The sequence below is a fragment of the Homo sapiens genome, chromosome 5 (genome assembly GCF_000001405.40).
Source record: "Homo sapiens chromosome 5, GRCh38.p14 Primary Assembly".
In the NCBI taxonomy this organism is placed as follows: Eukaryota; Metazoa; Chordata; class Mammalia; order Primates; family Hominidae; genus Homo; species Homo sapiens.
This window is the reverse complement of record NC_000005.10, coordinates 174888338-174904101: the sequence shown is the minus strand read 5'-3', so window position 1 is coordinate 174904101 and position 15764 is coordinate 174888338. Positions and strand designations below refer to the sequence as shown.

At 40.5% G+C, this 15764-nt stretch overlaps 2 annotated features.

Annotated features, from left to right (window-relative positions):
• Window positions 1981-2480: an enhancer, noted in NCBI's record as "H3K27ac-H3K4me1 hESC enhancer chr5:174328625-174329124 (GRCh37/hg19 assembly coordinates)". NCBI's record gives its function as "activates a minimal SCP1, AML or CMV promoter by ChIP-STARR-seq in primed H9 embryonic stem cells {active_cell/tissue: H9 hESC(primed)}" and the evidence as "EXISTENCE:reporter gene assay evidence [ECO:0000049][PMID:30033119]".
• Window positions 2481-2982: an enhancer, noted in NCBI's record as "H3K27ac-H3K4me1 hESC enhancer chr5:174328123-174328624 (GRCh37/hg19 assembly coordinates)". NCBI's record gives its function as "activates a minimal SCP1, AML or CMV promoter by ChIP-STARR-seq in primed H9 embryonic stem cells {active_cell/tissue: H9 hESC(primed)}" and the evidence as "EXISTENCE:reporter gene assay evidence [ECO:0000049][PMID:30033119]".

Here is a 15764-nt window from a genome sequence, read left to right as displayed (position 1 = left end):
CTGGTGGCATGGGCTCATGAGGGGATCTCCTGATCCATGGGTTGCAAAGATTCATGGGAAAAGCATGGTTTCCTGGGGTCACACATTCATTCACCACTTCCCTTGGCTGGGGTGGGGGTTTCCTTGGCTCCATATGGCTTCCAGGTGGGCCATCACCCATGGGTTGTTCTTCATGAGTTGAGTTGTTTCCCTGATCAGTCCCAATGTGACTACCTGAATATTTCAGTTGATGGTGCTGTATTCACTTGCCCCTTTTGTTTCTCTTTGTGAGTGCCACGGACTGCAGCTGCTTCTCAATCTTATTTTTTAATTGACATATAACAGATGTATGTATTTTCATCTCCACCAAATCTTTACTACTGGTCCCCTCCATTAGTGTCCTTGGTTAGTTACTTTATTACCTGTGCCTTGGAGTCAAAGCATTTCCATTTCCGAACCTCTGTTTTCTCAACTGTCAGATGGGTCTTGTAGCAGACACCAGAGCAGACACCACCTCAGTGCCTGCTGAAGCTCTGCTCTTCCAAGGGTGCCCTCTCCTGGCCACAGATGACTAGATGGGATGTGGCCACCTGATCTTTGATGAGCCTATCAGATTCTCTGATTAATCTTGAAACTAGGAGATACAAAATCTCCAGTGAGATTAGTAAGCCTGCAGCTGCCAGCCTGGGGCTTGAGGTCTGTTTTATCCATGTGCAATCTGGAAAGTTGGCAGTGGAAACTCATTTTCAGAGACAGGCTGGAGGAGAGAGCAGATTTGCAGGGAGGACATATAGCCCAGGGATAGAGAGAAAGAAGGGTGTGGCCCAGTGACTCTCCACTTCCCATGAGACAAAACCCAATTTCCTGCTTTTATTTTCCATGACACTCCCTCATAACCTACTGAGACACCACCTTTCCTTAGCTAATTTAAATAGGTGACTATTTTTTGCAAAACATATCAGTCTTGGCTGGAACAGAGAAAACAGTTTATGAGGTCTTTGCAATTTTTTTTTTTTTTGAGTTCGCTCACTGCAAACTCTACCTCCTGGGTTCATGCCATTCTCCTGCCTCAGTCTCCCGAGTAACTGGGACTACAGGCGCCTGCCACCACGCCCAGCTATTTTTTTGTATTTTTAGTAGAGACGGGGTTTCATCACGTTATCCAGGATGGTCTCGATCTCCTGACCTCGTGATCCGCCCATCTCAGCCTCCCAAAGTGCTGGGATTACAGGTCTTTGCAATAGTATTATATCATAACATAAAAATATGATTGTGAAATAAATTAGAGACAAAAATATTTTATGGAAGTATTGTACAATAAACATTATCCATGAAATGTATTCTTCCTAGTGTGTCCAGAATTGGTGGGTTCTTGGTCTCACTGACTTCAAGAACAAAGCCACAGTCACTCGCGGTGACTGTTACAGTTCTTAAAGGTGGCGTGTGCAGAGTTTGTTCCTTCTGATGTTCGGATGTGTTCAGAGCTTCTTCCTGCTGGTGGGTTCATCGTCTCGCTGGCTTCAGGTGTGAAGCTGCAGACCTTCGCGGTGAGTGTTACAGCTGTTAAGGCAGGGCATCTGGAGTTGTTCATTCCTCCCATCCAGAGTTGTTCATTCCTCCCGGTAGGTTTGTGGTCTTGCTGGCCTCAGGAGAGAAACTGCAGACCTTCGCCGTCAGTGTTACAGCTCATAAAAGCAGTGTGGACCCAAAGCATGAGCAGCAGCAAGATTTACTGCAAAGAGTGAAAGAACTAAACTTCCACACTGTGGAAAGGGACTCAGGATTGCCACTGCTGGTTTGGGCAGCCTGCTTTTATTCCCTTATCTGGCACCACCCACATCCTGCTGATTGGTCCATTTTATAGAGAGCTTATTGGTCTGTTTTACAGAGAGCTGACTGGTCCGTTTTGACAGGGTGCTGATTGGTGAGTTTACAATCCCTGAGCTAGACACAAAAGTTCTCCAAGTCCCCACTAGATTAGCTAGACACAGAGCACTGATTGGTGTATTTACAAACCTGGAGCTAGACACAGGGTGCTGATTGGTGCATTTACAAACCTTGAGCTAGACACAGAGTGCTGATTGGTGTATTTACAATCCCTTAGCTAGACATAAAGGTTCTCCAAGTCCCCACTAGACTCAGGAGCCCAGCTGGCTTCACCCAGTGGATCCTGCACTGAGGCTGCAGGCAGAGCTGCCTGCCAGTCCCACGCCGTGTGCCCACTCTTCTCAGCCCTTGGGCGGTGATGGGACCAGGTGCCATGGAGCAGGGGGAGGTGCTTGTCAGGGAGGCTCAGGCCACGCAGGAGCCCACGGAGGCGGGGGGAGGCTCGGGCATGGCAGGCCGCAGGTCCCGAGCCCTGCCCTGTGGGGAGGCAGCTGAGGCCCGGCAAGAATTCGAGTGCAGCGCTGGTGGGCCAGCACTGCTGGGGGATCCGGCGCACCCTCCGCAGCTGCTGGCCCGGGTGCTAAGCCCCTCACTGCCCAGGGCCAGCGGCGCCGGCTGGCTGCTCCCAGTGCAGGGCCCGCTGAGCCTACAGCCACCCGGAACCCTAGCTGGCTTGCAAGCGCTGCGCAGCCTGGTTCCTGCCCATGCCTCTCCCTCCACACCTCCCCACAGGCTGAGGGAGCTGGCTCCAGCCTCGGCCATCCCAGGAAGGGGCTCCCACAATACAGTGGCAGGCTGAAGGGCTCCTCAAGTGCGGCCAGAGTGGGCGCTGAGGCCAAGGAGGCGGGGAGAGCGAGCGAGGGCTGTGAGGGCTGTGAGGGCTGCCAGCACACTGTCACCTCTCACTAGCACACACTAGGTGCACATACTAGGCTCATTATTGTTCCTGCACAGCCTCCCCCATGCACAAATACTCTTTAGTGTTGTCACTTTACCTAGGATTCGATAGAAAGAGGGAGAAAGAGATTTACCTTGCCTGGCACACAATTGCTAACTTCAAATTTTATTACACATTCCCTTCTAAAAAGAGCCATGCTGTCAAAGAGCATTTTTCCCTTTGCCTGATCCTGAGCAGACCCCAGACTCATGACCTTTTCTCTCCCTCCAGGATTCCCAGCTCTGCTCCAAACTTGCACCTCGAATCCATCCAGGTACTCAGCAGAAAAAGGGCCCTCCTATGGTATAGCTTGGTCCCTGAGACCCTAGCAATGGCTACTGGTGTTGAGGAGGCATTGTGCTGGCTTCCATGACCCAGCATGTCTTCCAGAGAGGGTGAGGCTAGATGCAGCTCTGCCAAAAGGCCTGAAGGACAAGACAGCAGCTTCCATCAAGGACCAGGGACTAATTCAATCTCTTCTTGACAGATGCTTTGTGACACTGATAGGCCTGGCCTCTCTCATGTCTCCCCCCACACTGCCCTCTCTTTCACCTCCTTCGCCTGTCTTAAAGACTCTTGAAGATGTCACATCAGGCAAATGCCGAGTTGTCAGAGAAGGAGGTGGAGCCCTAACGGAACATTAAGACTAGTCAACGAAAACTGACAAAAGGGATGGAGATCTGAGGCCTGTTTTGTGAGGAGATGTATTCTGTCTCCAATAAAGGAAAGAAGTCTAGAAGGAAAGAGGGAGGGGAGAAGCGAAGAGAAATCCTTCTAATGTATCAGATGTGTCCTGACATGTCATACGTCTAGCTCTCCACAAAGCTCCAAGACAAATTACATATGCCTGATGAACAGGAAGTGGGCATGGCTGTGAGTTTTGAAACTAGGGGAAGCTGCCATCCTGCATCACAGTTAAACTAAAATTGTCCCTAAACGACTTTTGGTTGAACATGTTGGTTAAGTTAATTTCATGCTCATAGCCTACAGTTTTATAACACAGAATTCCAAATGATTACTCTATTGGCCCCAGGAACCATGATGCACATAAGCTTTTAATTTGCTCAATATCATTGCAGTTTGTCTTAAATAGATAAATCATCCGTATCCACTGATGACCTTAGATTTCACCATCACCCAAGTTTCAAGTTTGAAATTCTAAAAATACTGCCAAGCTGAAGACATTGGAAGGCTATATGTTGGAACAGGAAATTTACAATAAAAGAAATACAAATTGCCAGCAAACAAAGAAAAACATGTTCACAAAAATTGATAGTTAAGTAAATATAAGTTGAAAGGACAACAAAATATCATTTTTGTGCAGAAAACATTTGATAATCCTTACTTTGGAAAAGATGTGAGGAAATAGGGACCCACTGCTGCTGTAATTTTAAGTTAGTACAACCATTTTCAAACTACCTTGGCTCAATCTATTCAAATTGGAAATGTAGGTACGTTTTGATTCAGGTTTTGTACTGCCATGAATTTTCCTGCTGCTGTACTTGTATATGTTTGAATTCTGTGGAATGGTCAAAATACATGAGCTGGATCTACATAGAGTAACATCAAATGGCTTCAAAAATATAGTGTGCATGAAAAAAAGTCTTTTAAAAAACTGATAGCATAATTAAATTAATATAAATAAAAATTACTCTAAACAGCATTACATGCTTGGAGATATACATATATGGAAATGAAAAAAAGATGGCTAGAAAGTAATTACATCATATACAAGAGAGTGGATGTCTGTGGTGAGAATGATAAGTAAAAAACAATAATATAATCTTTTAAAAAATTAAGGAGAGGTGCCACAAGGATAATAACTATATGGCCTTAATAATTAAGGAGCATGATTGATTCATTCCAATACAGCTGAGGTCTGCAAAAAGAAAAATTAAAAGCAATAACCAAAAAAGCCCCTAATTATTCACATTAAAGTGTAGGCTCAATATGTTAACTGAGGCATTGGTTGTAATAGCAATAAATTAGAAACATTCTAAATGCTCATCAGTATTTATGTTTATTAATTTTAAAGATTAAATAAATTAGCTTACATCTATTCAAAAGTCTATAATGTAGCTTTGACAAACAATGAGATAATAATATATGAGCTAAATGAAATGTTCTTTAAGATGCATAAATTGTTAAAATGGTATGGTAGTACAAGAGAAAAGGCAAACTCAGATAACCTGAGGCATGTATTCCCTTCCTTCTTTCAGTAGCTTAGCAAAGCTACTGACCCAGCAAATTTGTGTTTACTTACTGAAAAAATGGGCTAATTTCAGTCAGTGGGCCAAAGACCCTCCTATGGTACAGCTTGGTCCCTGAGACCTTAACAATGGCTACTGGTGTTGAGCAGGCATCATACTGGCCCATGAACTAGGGTGTCTGCCAAAAGGGTGAGGCTGGATGCAGCTCTGCCAAGAGGCCTGCAGGACAGGACAACAGCTTCCATCAAGGAAGCAAGGCCATTTATTCAACAAGGAAGGTCCCATTGTTTCATGGTCACTTAGATGCTTCCTGCCCTTGTTTCTCTATAAATATGGTAGCATATTTTAGAAATGGGCTTCCTTTCTAAGGCATTCTGAGTCCATGTATGTCTGAATGAACCTATGTGTAATTGGAATCTCAGGAGAAGAGAGAAAAAATAGAGTAAATGTTCGAAAAGATGGCTGAGAATTTTCAAAAAATGATAAAAAGACATCAAACCACATCTTAAGAAACCCAAGCAGGATAAATTTTTCTACCACTCCCCTTCCCCCTAAAAAAAACTCACCTGAACATATCAAATTCAAACTGCTAAAAAACCTTGGCCAGGCACAGTGGCTCACGCCTGTAATCACAGCACTTTGGGAGGTATCGAGGTGGTCAGATCATTTGAGGTTAGGAGTTCAAGACCAACCTGGCCAACATGGTGAAACCCCGTCTCTATTAAAAATACAAAAATTAGCCAGGCACAGTGGTGCATGCCTGTAGTCCCAGCTACTTAGGAGGCTGAGGCAGAAGAATCGCTTGAATCTGAGAGGCAGAGGTTGCAGTGAGCCGAGATAGTGCCATTGCACTCCAGCCTGGGTGACAGAGCGAGACTCTGTCTCTAAAAAGAAAACAAACAAACAAACAACAACAACAACAAAAAGATAAAGAGAAAATCTTAAAGGCAGCAGGTGGTTGAGGAGTGGGACTATGTACAGAGTATCAAAGATAAGACGTATAGCAAACTTTTTCATCAGAAACTTTGCATGCCAGATGACATGACATTTTGAAAGTGACAAAAAAAAAAAAAGGAACTGTCAACCCAGAATTTCATTCCTAGAGAAAATATAAAAGAGAGAAGGCAGTCTGCTTTTTGCCATGATGGAGTAACACAGACAGAATATATGCTCCCATATTAAACAATTAGAAAAACAAGTAAAATATATGAAAAATAGTTTTCAGATATTGGATAACATGTAGCATGAAACAGTGATTCTTGAAGAAAGGAAAACAAACAAGATGAGTGCTGAGCAATTGTGTCAGCGTATTACAGGGAGGCAGGTTCCAGGTTATACAGCTGGGAGAGGGAACTCAAGGAAAGCCTCCAGATTTGCTGAGTTGAGAAGAGAAAGTACGGAGTTGAGGAAGGCCAAGCCTGCAAGATTTTGCATAGCAGACTACTAGAGAGAAGAGTTATGACCGAGAAAAAGTTCTGGAGTTCTACAGAGAGGTCTCTCACTTTTTTAGTTGAGTATTGATCTGTTCATGTGTGAGGAGAAACTAAGACTGGGAAGCAAATCGCCAGAAAGTCACAGGCTGAAAAATTCCCAGATCTTACACATGGCTGGAAGGAGTGCATTTTCCCAGCAGCCAAGGTGAATGTCACTGTAATACAAAAGTTATTCCCTGAAGTCTTCAGGCAAGTATTGCCTTATTTATGGGACTAAACCAGCTAGATTGAAGGCTGCCTTGTACCTGCTGTAAACAAAGCAAGCCTCCAAAGCATGCAACTAATTCCAAGCAACCTAATTAAATATCTGGCAAAGGGCCATACTATGTAAAGGAATAAACAAAATGCACCAGCCAAAAACATAAAATTTACAATATTCAATTAAAAATTACTAAGCATGCAAAGAAGTAGGAAGATATGATGAATTAGCAGGAGAAAACCAGTCAATAGAAAGAAACAGAGATAACACACATTATCTAATTAGCAGGCAAGGACATTAAAACAGCCATTCTAAATACCTAGCATATGTTCAAGATGACAAAGAATGAAATAAACATAATGAAAAAAGAACTGGAAAATTTTGAAAAGACCCAAATTGAAATTCTAAAGATGAAAAAATACAATACCTGAACTGAAAAATATACTGAATGAGATTAATATCAGATGATAATTTTGGGAAAAACAGATCAGTAAACAGGTAGACATGGCAATAGATAGTACCCTAGATAAAGAATAGAAAGAAGAAAAAATGAACAGAGGATCAGTGACCTCTAGGATAATATCAAGGAGTTGAACACACACATAAAAGGGTCCCAGGACTTGGGTTGCAGGACAGTGGGGGGAAGGGAGTGGAAAGAAGGACAGAAAAAAATATCTTTAAAGAAATAATGGCCAAAATTTTTCCCAGTTTGAAAACCCACAAATCTAAGAACCTAAAAGAACCCCAAGCAAAATAAATAAATAAAAAATAAAATCATATTGCTGAAAACCAACAACAAATAGAAAATTATTAAAGCAGCCATAACATTATATACAGAATATTATAGACATTGCATACACAAGAACAAAGATAAGAATGATAGCATACTTCTCATCAGAAACTATGCAAGCCCGAAAACAAAGAAGCAACATTTTTACTTATTGAGGGGAAAGAAAAAAGAAAACTATTAACCTAGAACACTACACTCAGAGAAAATATCTTTCAAAATGAATATAAAATCAAGAATTCTTCATACAAACTTTATCAGAATATTTGCTCAATAAGAAATGTTATGGGAAATTCCTCAGAAAAAAGAAAAGTTATATCAAATGGAAATTTAGAATTAAAAACACTAAAGATAATTAAGTATGTCAGTAAATATTTTTTCTTATTTTTTAACCTCTTTAAAATATAATTGCTTAAAACAAAATGAATAACAATTTATTATATGATTTATAACACATTGGAAATAACACAAAACATAAAGCACAGCATGAAATGATATTGAAGTGTGCGTTGTAAGTATGATCTTAACACAACACATGAAATGGTATAATGTTATTTGAAGGCAGGTTGGGATATGTTTAAGACATATATTATATGTCTTAGAACAATCACTTTAAAAAGTAATACAAAGAGGAAGTCTAATAATCCAACAGGGAGAAAAAATGGAATTTTACATATATATGTGTATATATGTAAATAAGTGTATGTGTGTGTGTATATATATACACACATATATATTTAATATATACACATATATAATACACTTATATACACACATATACACACATATATACATATATATATTTGTTTATGTATGTTAAGTCCACTAATCCAAAAGAAGACTAAAAAAGAAAAAAAAAGAAATGTTTTAATGGATTTAACAATTTTCAGAATAGCAAGAGAGTAGATTTAAACCAAACATTTCAATAATTACATTGATTATAAGTGGCCTACATAGGGAGTCCTATATAGGAACCCTATATAGGAACCAGGCCACAGAGCAGGAGGTGAGTGGCAGGTAAGCGAGCATTACCACCTGAGCGCCACCTCCTGTCAGATCAGCCACAGCATTAGCATCTCAAAGGTGCACGAACCCTTTTGTGAACTACACAGGCAGGGGATCTAGGTTGTGCGCACCTTCTTAGAATCTAATTAATGCCTGCACCTTCTTAGAATCTAATTAATGCCTGATGATCTGAGGTGCAACAGTTTTATCCTGAAACCATCCCTTGCCCCTTCCCATCTGTGAAAAAAAATGTCTTCCATAAAACCAGTTCCTGGTGCAAAAAGACTGGGGACTGTTAGCCTATATAATGTGATTAAAAGCCAAACTTCATCAGATTTGATTAACTATTAAGACACAATTATATGCTGTTTGCAAGAAACATACTGTTTTCAGAAATATGGATTTTATGTTTTCAACTTCTAATTCAGGTTCAGGAGCTATGTGTGAAGGTTTGTCACATGGGTAAATTGCATGTCACTGGGTTGTGGTGTACAAAGGATTGTGTCACCCAGGTGAAAAGCATAGTACCCGATGAGTAGTTTTTCAACCCTCATCCTCTTCCCACCCTCCACCCTCAAGCATCTACTGTTTACCGTTTTGTGTTCCTGTGTACTCAGTGTTTAGGTCCTACTTATAAGTGAGCACATGCAGTATTTGGTTTCTTATGTGAATTTGCTTAAAATAATGGCCTCCAGCTTCATCCATGTTGCTGCGAAACCCATGATTTGGGGATTTTTTTTTTCATCTTTTTTCTGGCCATGCAGTATTCCATGGTATATATGTACCACATTTTCTTTTCTTTTTTTTTTTTTTGAGATGGAGTTGCACTCTGTTGCCCAGTCTGGAGTGCAGTGGCATGATCTCCACTCTCTGCAAGCTCCGCCTCCTGGGTTCATGCCATTCTCCTGCCTCAGCCTCTTGAGTAGCTGGGACTACAGGCACCCGCCACCACACTCGGCTAATTTTTTTGTATTTTTAGTAGAGATGGGGTTTCACCATGTTAGCCAGGATGGTCTTGATCTCTTGACCTCGTGATCCACCCACTTTGGCCTCCCAAAGTGCTGGGATTACAGGCATGAGCCACCGTGCCCAGCCCACATTTTCTATATTCAGTCCACTGTTGATAGGCATCTAGGTTGATTCTATGTCTTTACTATTATAAATAGTGCTGCAAGGAACACATAACTACATGTCTTTTTGGTAGAATGTTTGTATTTCTTTGAGCGTACACCCAGCAGTGGAATTGCTGGATCAAATAGTAGCTCTGTTTTAAGTTATTTGAGAAATTTAAGTTTTAACTAAGGTTATAACTTAACCATGGGCACGTAAGGTATCTCAAAGAGATGGTAGGCAGTTTTCTTTTTTTTTTTTTTTTTTTTTTTTTTTTTACAAGATTTAGAATCTCTCCAAGGTAGTTTAAAGAAAGGAAAATTCAAGACAGGAAATTAGAAGCTATTCATGGGTGGAGGAGAGGGGAGTCTTAATAAATGGCAAAGTTACACAAATAACAAAACAGAAAGGAATCATTCCTGAAACCAGAAATTGAGCCCGTGCTGCCATTGCCAAAAGACAGAGCCTTAGCTACTGAGTTACAGCACTGAGCAGTTTCTATTACTCTTCCCAGAAGTCTAGAGCAGCCAATTTCAAGCTTGCAGAGGCTTTTAACTGCTCAAGATAATTTTTGGGGCTAACTATGACATGAACCCCAAAATTCCTGTCCTCTGGATGGCGGAGACCAAGAGAAAGTATCTCCACATGGTCACAAGGTTAAGCTCTTAAGGATACAAAACAAGACAGGGAAATTTTATCTGGTATTGGTTTCAGGGACCCGTAGCAAACTTGGTAACTGACCAGCTGCCAGGCTTAAAATGCGAGCTTATAGGAGCCGTAAACCCACGTTCTATCCAGTGATACCTCTCTTTCCATTATAGAGTGACACAGAAAGACAAATTCTTAGCACAAATTGCACCAGATATGCTACATTCTAAGGCTAGTCTCACAAATCCTCTTTTTTTCTATTAATCAAACTTTTGCAGAGGAGACAAACAGTGACGTTTAACATTCCCCCTACCCTCACCCTCCACCACACATACACACACAGAGAGAGAGAGAGAGGGAGAGAGACCAGAAGCTTGACTAGTAAGAATTTCTTAGGCCAGGCACGGTGGCTCATGCCTGTAATCCCAGCACTTTGGGAGGCCTAGGTGCGTGGATCAGTTTGAGACCAGCCTGACCAACACGGAGAAACCCTGTCTCTACTAAAAATACAAAATTAGCTGGGTGTGGTGGCACATGCCTGTAATCCCAGCTACTCGGGAGGCTGAGGCAGGAGAATCACTTGAACCCAGGAGGCGGAGGTTGGGGTGAGCCGAGATTGTGCCATTGCACTCCAGCCTGGGCAACAAGAGGGAAACTCCATCTTAAAAAAAAATAAATAAATAAGAATTTCTTACCCTTTATGCTGGCATACCAGGTTTCCGGGTCCCCTTTACAGTTTCCAGAAGAATGGAGCAGCTTTTGATGACCCTGCTCACTGTTCCATAACTGTGGGGGTCAAGCCACTTTACAAAAGAAAGTCACTCTGTTATGTTTTATGGAACCATAGGCAAAAGATTCTCAATTTTGCAAGATGCTGCTCAACAGGTTGCGTGTGGAACCAAATTAACGTTTTCCATCCCAGCTGAAGCAAAATACACATAACAAAACAGACACTAGTCACCTCGTTCAGCACCGAATATTGACCTGGCAAGGCTCAGACTTTCTCCTATTGGTCCCTGTTGTCTTTGATCCACTCCTGGTGGGGAGGGATGACCTCTGAATGGTAATTCAGTGGGTGGTCTCTGGGCAAGACGAAGAGCGAGTTACCCCGAGTCAGGCCTGTTGAGCTTCTCCAGGACTCACCAAATGTGACCAGATAAATAAGGAGGGTTCTCTGAGTTAGGCCTGCTGGACTTCCATCAGCAATTCTTTCAGAAATTGCCTCCACATATACAAACACACATAAAAACAAGACAGACAGAAGGTCTTCCAAGTCAAGATCCCTAACCAAGAACTCCAAGAGTATCCCTTCCAAGCTACCCACCTATTCTCTGAATGAGAGAAATCTCCTTCAAATCTTCCTGACTGAGGAGACATCTCCCAAAACAAAACTCTTCCTAATAATTAGGGAGAGCTGACCAAGAACCCAGAAGGAGCCAAACTGAGACAGACATCCCACAGTGGGGCTACGGAAGAACTCAGGCCCCAGAATAAGACAAACCAATCAGGAGAAGGAAGGAGGCATTGGCAGCACCTACAATACTCACCAAACCAAACACTATATAATGGAGCTAAAGCTATGGACACTCCATGACTGGGCTACACACAGAGACCCTGTGATATGCCTATAGTTATATCTCCCCAGGACTATTTCCTTATTGCAATTAAATCCATGCACATTGGCTCAGCAGTGCCCCACCAGTAGAGAGAGTACCAGAGTTAGCCCCTCATCCAACAGAACTAAGCAGCCACTTGGGCTGGTCTTTGGATCTGTTGTGGGAGGGGGCTACTGAACCATGGGGCAGGTAGCCACAAGGGCAATCCCAGACGAGCCCCCAAATTTGTAAACACCCAATGGGTTCACTTTGCCCACTGCCTAGACAGAGCCAGTTTATCAAGACAGGGAAATTGCAATGGAGAAAGAGTAATTTACACAAAGCCAGCTGTGAGGGAGACTGGAGTTTTATTGTTACTCAAGTCAATCTCCTACTCTGTTGATAGTTTATTTTTCTGTGCTGAAGCTCTTTAGTTTAATTAGGTCCCACTTGTCAATTTTTTTTTTTTTTTTGGTTGCAATTGCTATTGAGGACTTAGTCATAAATTCTTTCCCAAGGCAAATGTCCTGAATGGTGTTTTTTAAGTTTTTATCTAGGATTGTTGTAGTTTGTAGTCTTACACTTAAATCTTTAATCCATCTGAGTTAGTTCTTATAAATGGTGAAAATAATGGGTTCAGTTTCAATCTTCTGCATATGGTTAGCCAGTTATCTCTCTTTTGGCTATTGTGAATAATGCTGTTATGAACATCGTTGTACAAATATCTGTTTTCAATTCTTTCTGAGTATATAACCAGAAGTGGAATTGTTAGATCATATGTTAATTCTATTCTTTAATTTTTTGAGGAAACTTTATATCCTTTTCATAGCAGCTGTACTATTTTACAATCCTAACGGCAATGCACAAGGGCTCCAATTTTTTTGTATCCTCACTAACATTTATTTTCTTTTCTTAAAAAATAGTCTTTTGAATGGATATAAAGGTATCTTATTGTGGTTTTCATTTGCATTTCCCTAATAGTAACCTTGAACATCACCTCATGAGTTTATCGGTCATTTGTCTCCAGCTTTCATAAGGTTAGTTATGATACCATAATAATGGTTTCAATAAATAGCTAGTTAAAACTATTTATTGAATAGGGAGTCCTTTTCCCATTTCTTGTTATTGTCGACTTTGTTGAAAATCAGATGGCTTTATGTCTGGGTTCCCTAACCTGAAGAAACATACTTTAAATATACACACACACACACATAGCTTAAAAGCAAAGGATCAGGGGCTCTGCTTAAAGAAGCAGTCTGGTCACAATCTGTCAAAACCACTGTGGTGTCCTGCTTGGGGGACCCTTCCTCCTCCAGACTATTTGGACTCCTCAATCTGAAGAAGGATATCTACAAAAAAAAAAAAAAAAAAAAAAAAAAACAAAACAAAACAAAAAAACCCTACAACTAACATCATATTTAATGATGAAAAACTGAATGTTTCCCTTTCTAAGATCAGAATAAGAGAAGGATGTCCACTCTTACTGCTACTATTTAACATTGGCCTGGAAGTTCTAGCTAATGCATTCAGGTAAGAAAAAAAAAATAAAAGGCATACAGATTGGAAAGGAAGAGCTGTTTATTTTGCACCATGATTATTTATATAGAAAATCCCATGGATTCTATTTTTTAAAGCAACTAGAAATAACAAGAGTTCCTCAAGATCACAGGCTACCAGGTTGACATACAAAAACCTATTGTATCTTTATATAATAACAATGAAAAAATAAAATTTGGCATTTAAAAAGGTCACCTAAATAACATTTAAAATATGAAATGCTTAGGTATAAATTTAATTAAATATGTGTAATATCTACACAATGAAAACTACAAAATATTGTCTTGTTCCTTGCCTGGCTGTTTCTACCTGCTAGGACATAAGTTTCATAAGAGCTGGGACTTGATCTTTCTTATTTACTGATGTAACCCCTCCTTGACTATTCTGGTACAGGGACATAGCCCATGCTCAGTAAATAAATACTTGTTGAAAGGAACGTAGAAAGGAAGGGAACAAAAACAAGCAATGGGGAAAGGATTCCTATTCAATAAATGGTGCTGGGATAACTGGCTAGCCATATGCAGAAGACTGAAACTGGACCCCTTCCTTACACCGTATACAAAAATTAATTCAAGATGGATTACAGACTTAAATTTAAAACTGAAAACTATGAAAACTTTGGAAGACAACCTAGGCAATACCATGCAGGACAGAGGCATGAACAAAGACTTCATGATAAAGACGCCAAAAGCAATTGCAACAAAAGCAAAAATTGACAAATGAGACTTAATCAAACTAAACAGCTCTGAACAGCAAAAGAAACTATCAACAGAGTAAACAGACAACCTACAGAATGGGGGAAAAATTTTGCAAACTACGCATCCAACAACAGTCTAATATCCAGCATCTATGAGGAACTTATATTTACAAGAATAAAACAAACAAACAATCCATTAACAAGTGGGCAAAGGACATGAATGGGCACTTTTCAAAAGAAGACATACATGCAGCCAACAATCCTATGAAAAGAAGCTCAACGTCATTATCATTAGAGAAATGCAAATCAAAACCACAATGAGATACCATCTAACACCAGTCATCAGAACGGCTGCTATTAAAAAGTCAAAAACTAACAGATTCTGGTGAGGCTGTGGAGAAAAAGGAATGCTTTTACACTGTGGAAGTGTAAGTTAGTTCAACCCTCATAGAAAACGGTGTGGCAATTCCTCAAAGACCTAAAGACAGAAATACCATTCGACCCAGCGATCCCATTACTAGGTATATGCCCAAAGGAATGTAAATTATTCTGTTACAAAGACGCATGCACGCATATGTTCATTGCAGCACTATTCACAATAGCAAAGACATGGAATCAACATAAATGCCCATCGGTGATGGACTGGATAATACGAATGTAGTACATATACACCATGGAATACTATGCAGCCATAAAAAGGAACAAGATCATGTCCTTTGTATGGAGCTGGAGGCCATTATCCTTAGCAAACTAACACAAGAAGAGAAAACCAAATACCACATGTTCTCCCTTATAAGTAGGAGCTAAATCATTTATGAGAACACAAGGACACATGGGGTGGGTGTCCTCGGAGAGCGGAGGGTGGGAGGAGGAAGAGGATCAGGAAAAATAACTAATGGGTACTAGGCTTAATACCTGGGTGATGAAATAATCTGTACAAAAAACCCCCATGACACAAGTTTAACTATGTAGCAAATCTGCACATGTACCCCTGAACTTAAAATAAAAGTTAAAAAAAGAATAAATGAGCATATATATAACATACACTTATTTTTATATATAAATATTTATATATGCTCATATTATAAAATATTATAATATAAATATATTATGCTTATATTATATATTAACATTATTATATTAAAATATAACAATATTTATATATTTTATATATATGCTCATATTAGCCTGAACTACAATTTCATATCCTACTCCAATATGAAGGAAGTCAGAGCAATCCTTCCAGGGAGAAGCAGAAGGTTTGAAAGTCAGAGGAAAGAAAAATGACCAACTTCTCCAAAGTAAGAGAAGGCTGGTCAGAACACCTGCCCAGGGAGGGAGTGGGCCGCCCCAAAGAAACCACCTTCTCACCAGCTTATCCAGGTAGGAAGGGAAGACAGATGCTCTAGAAGTGAGAAAACTAGAGAAAGATGGTTGGTTTATAATTTCCCAGAGGATAGAAAGGAAACTATGCACTTTTTCTCTCAAGTATTTCATTCTGACTTTTAAGACTCAATAGTCAAACACTCAGAAAATCTGTTCAACGCTAGTGTTTCTTAGGGGAATATTTGCCCGACAAAAAAGCCATCTGGTCACCTGAAACCCAAAACCCAAACTCTTCATCACCCTTCCTCACATTGTGGCAAACACCGTTGTTGTT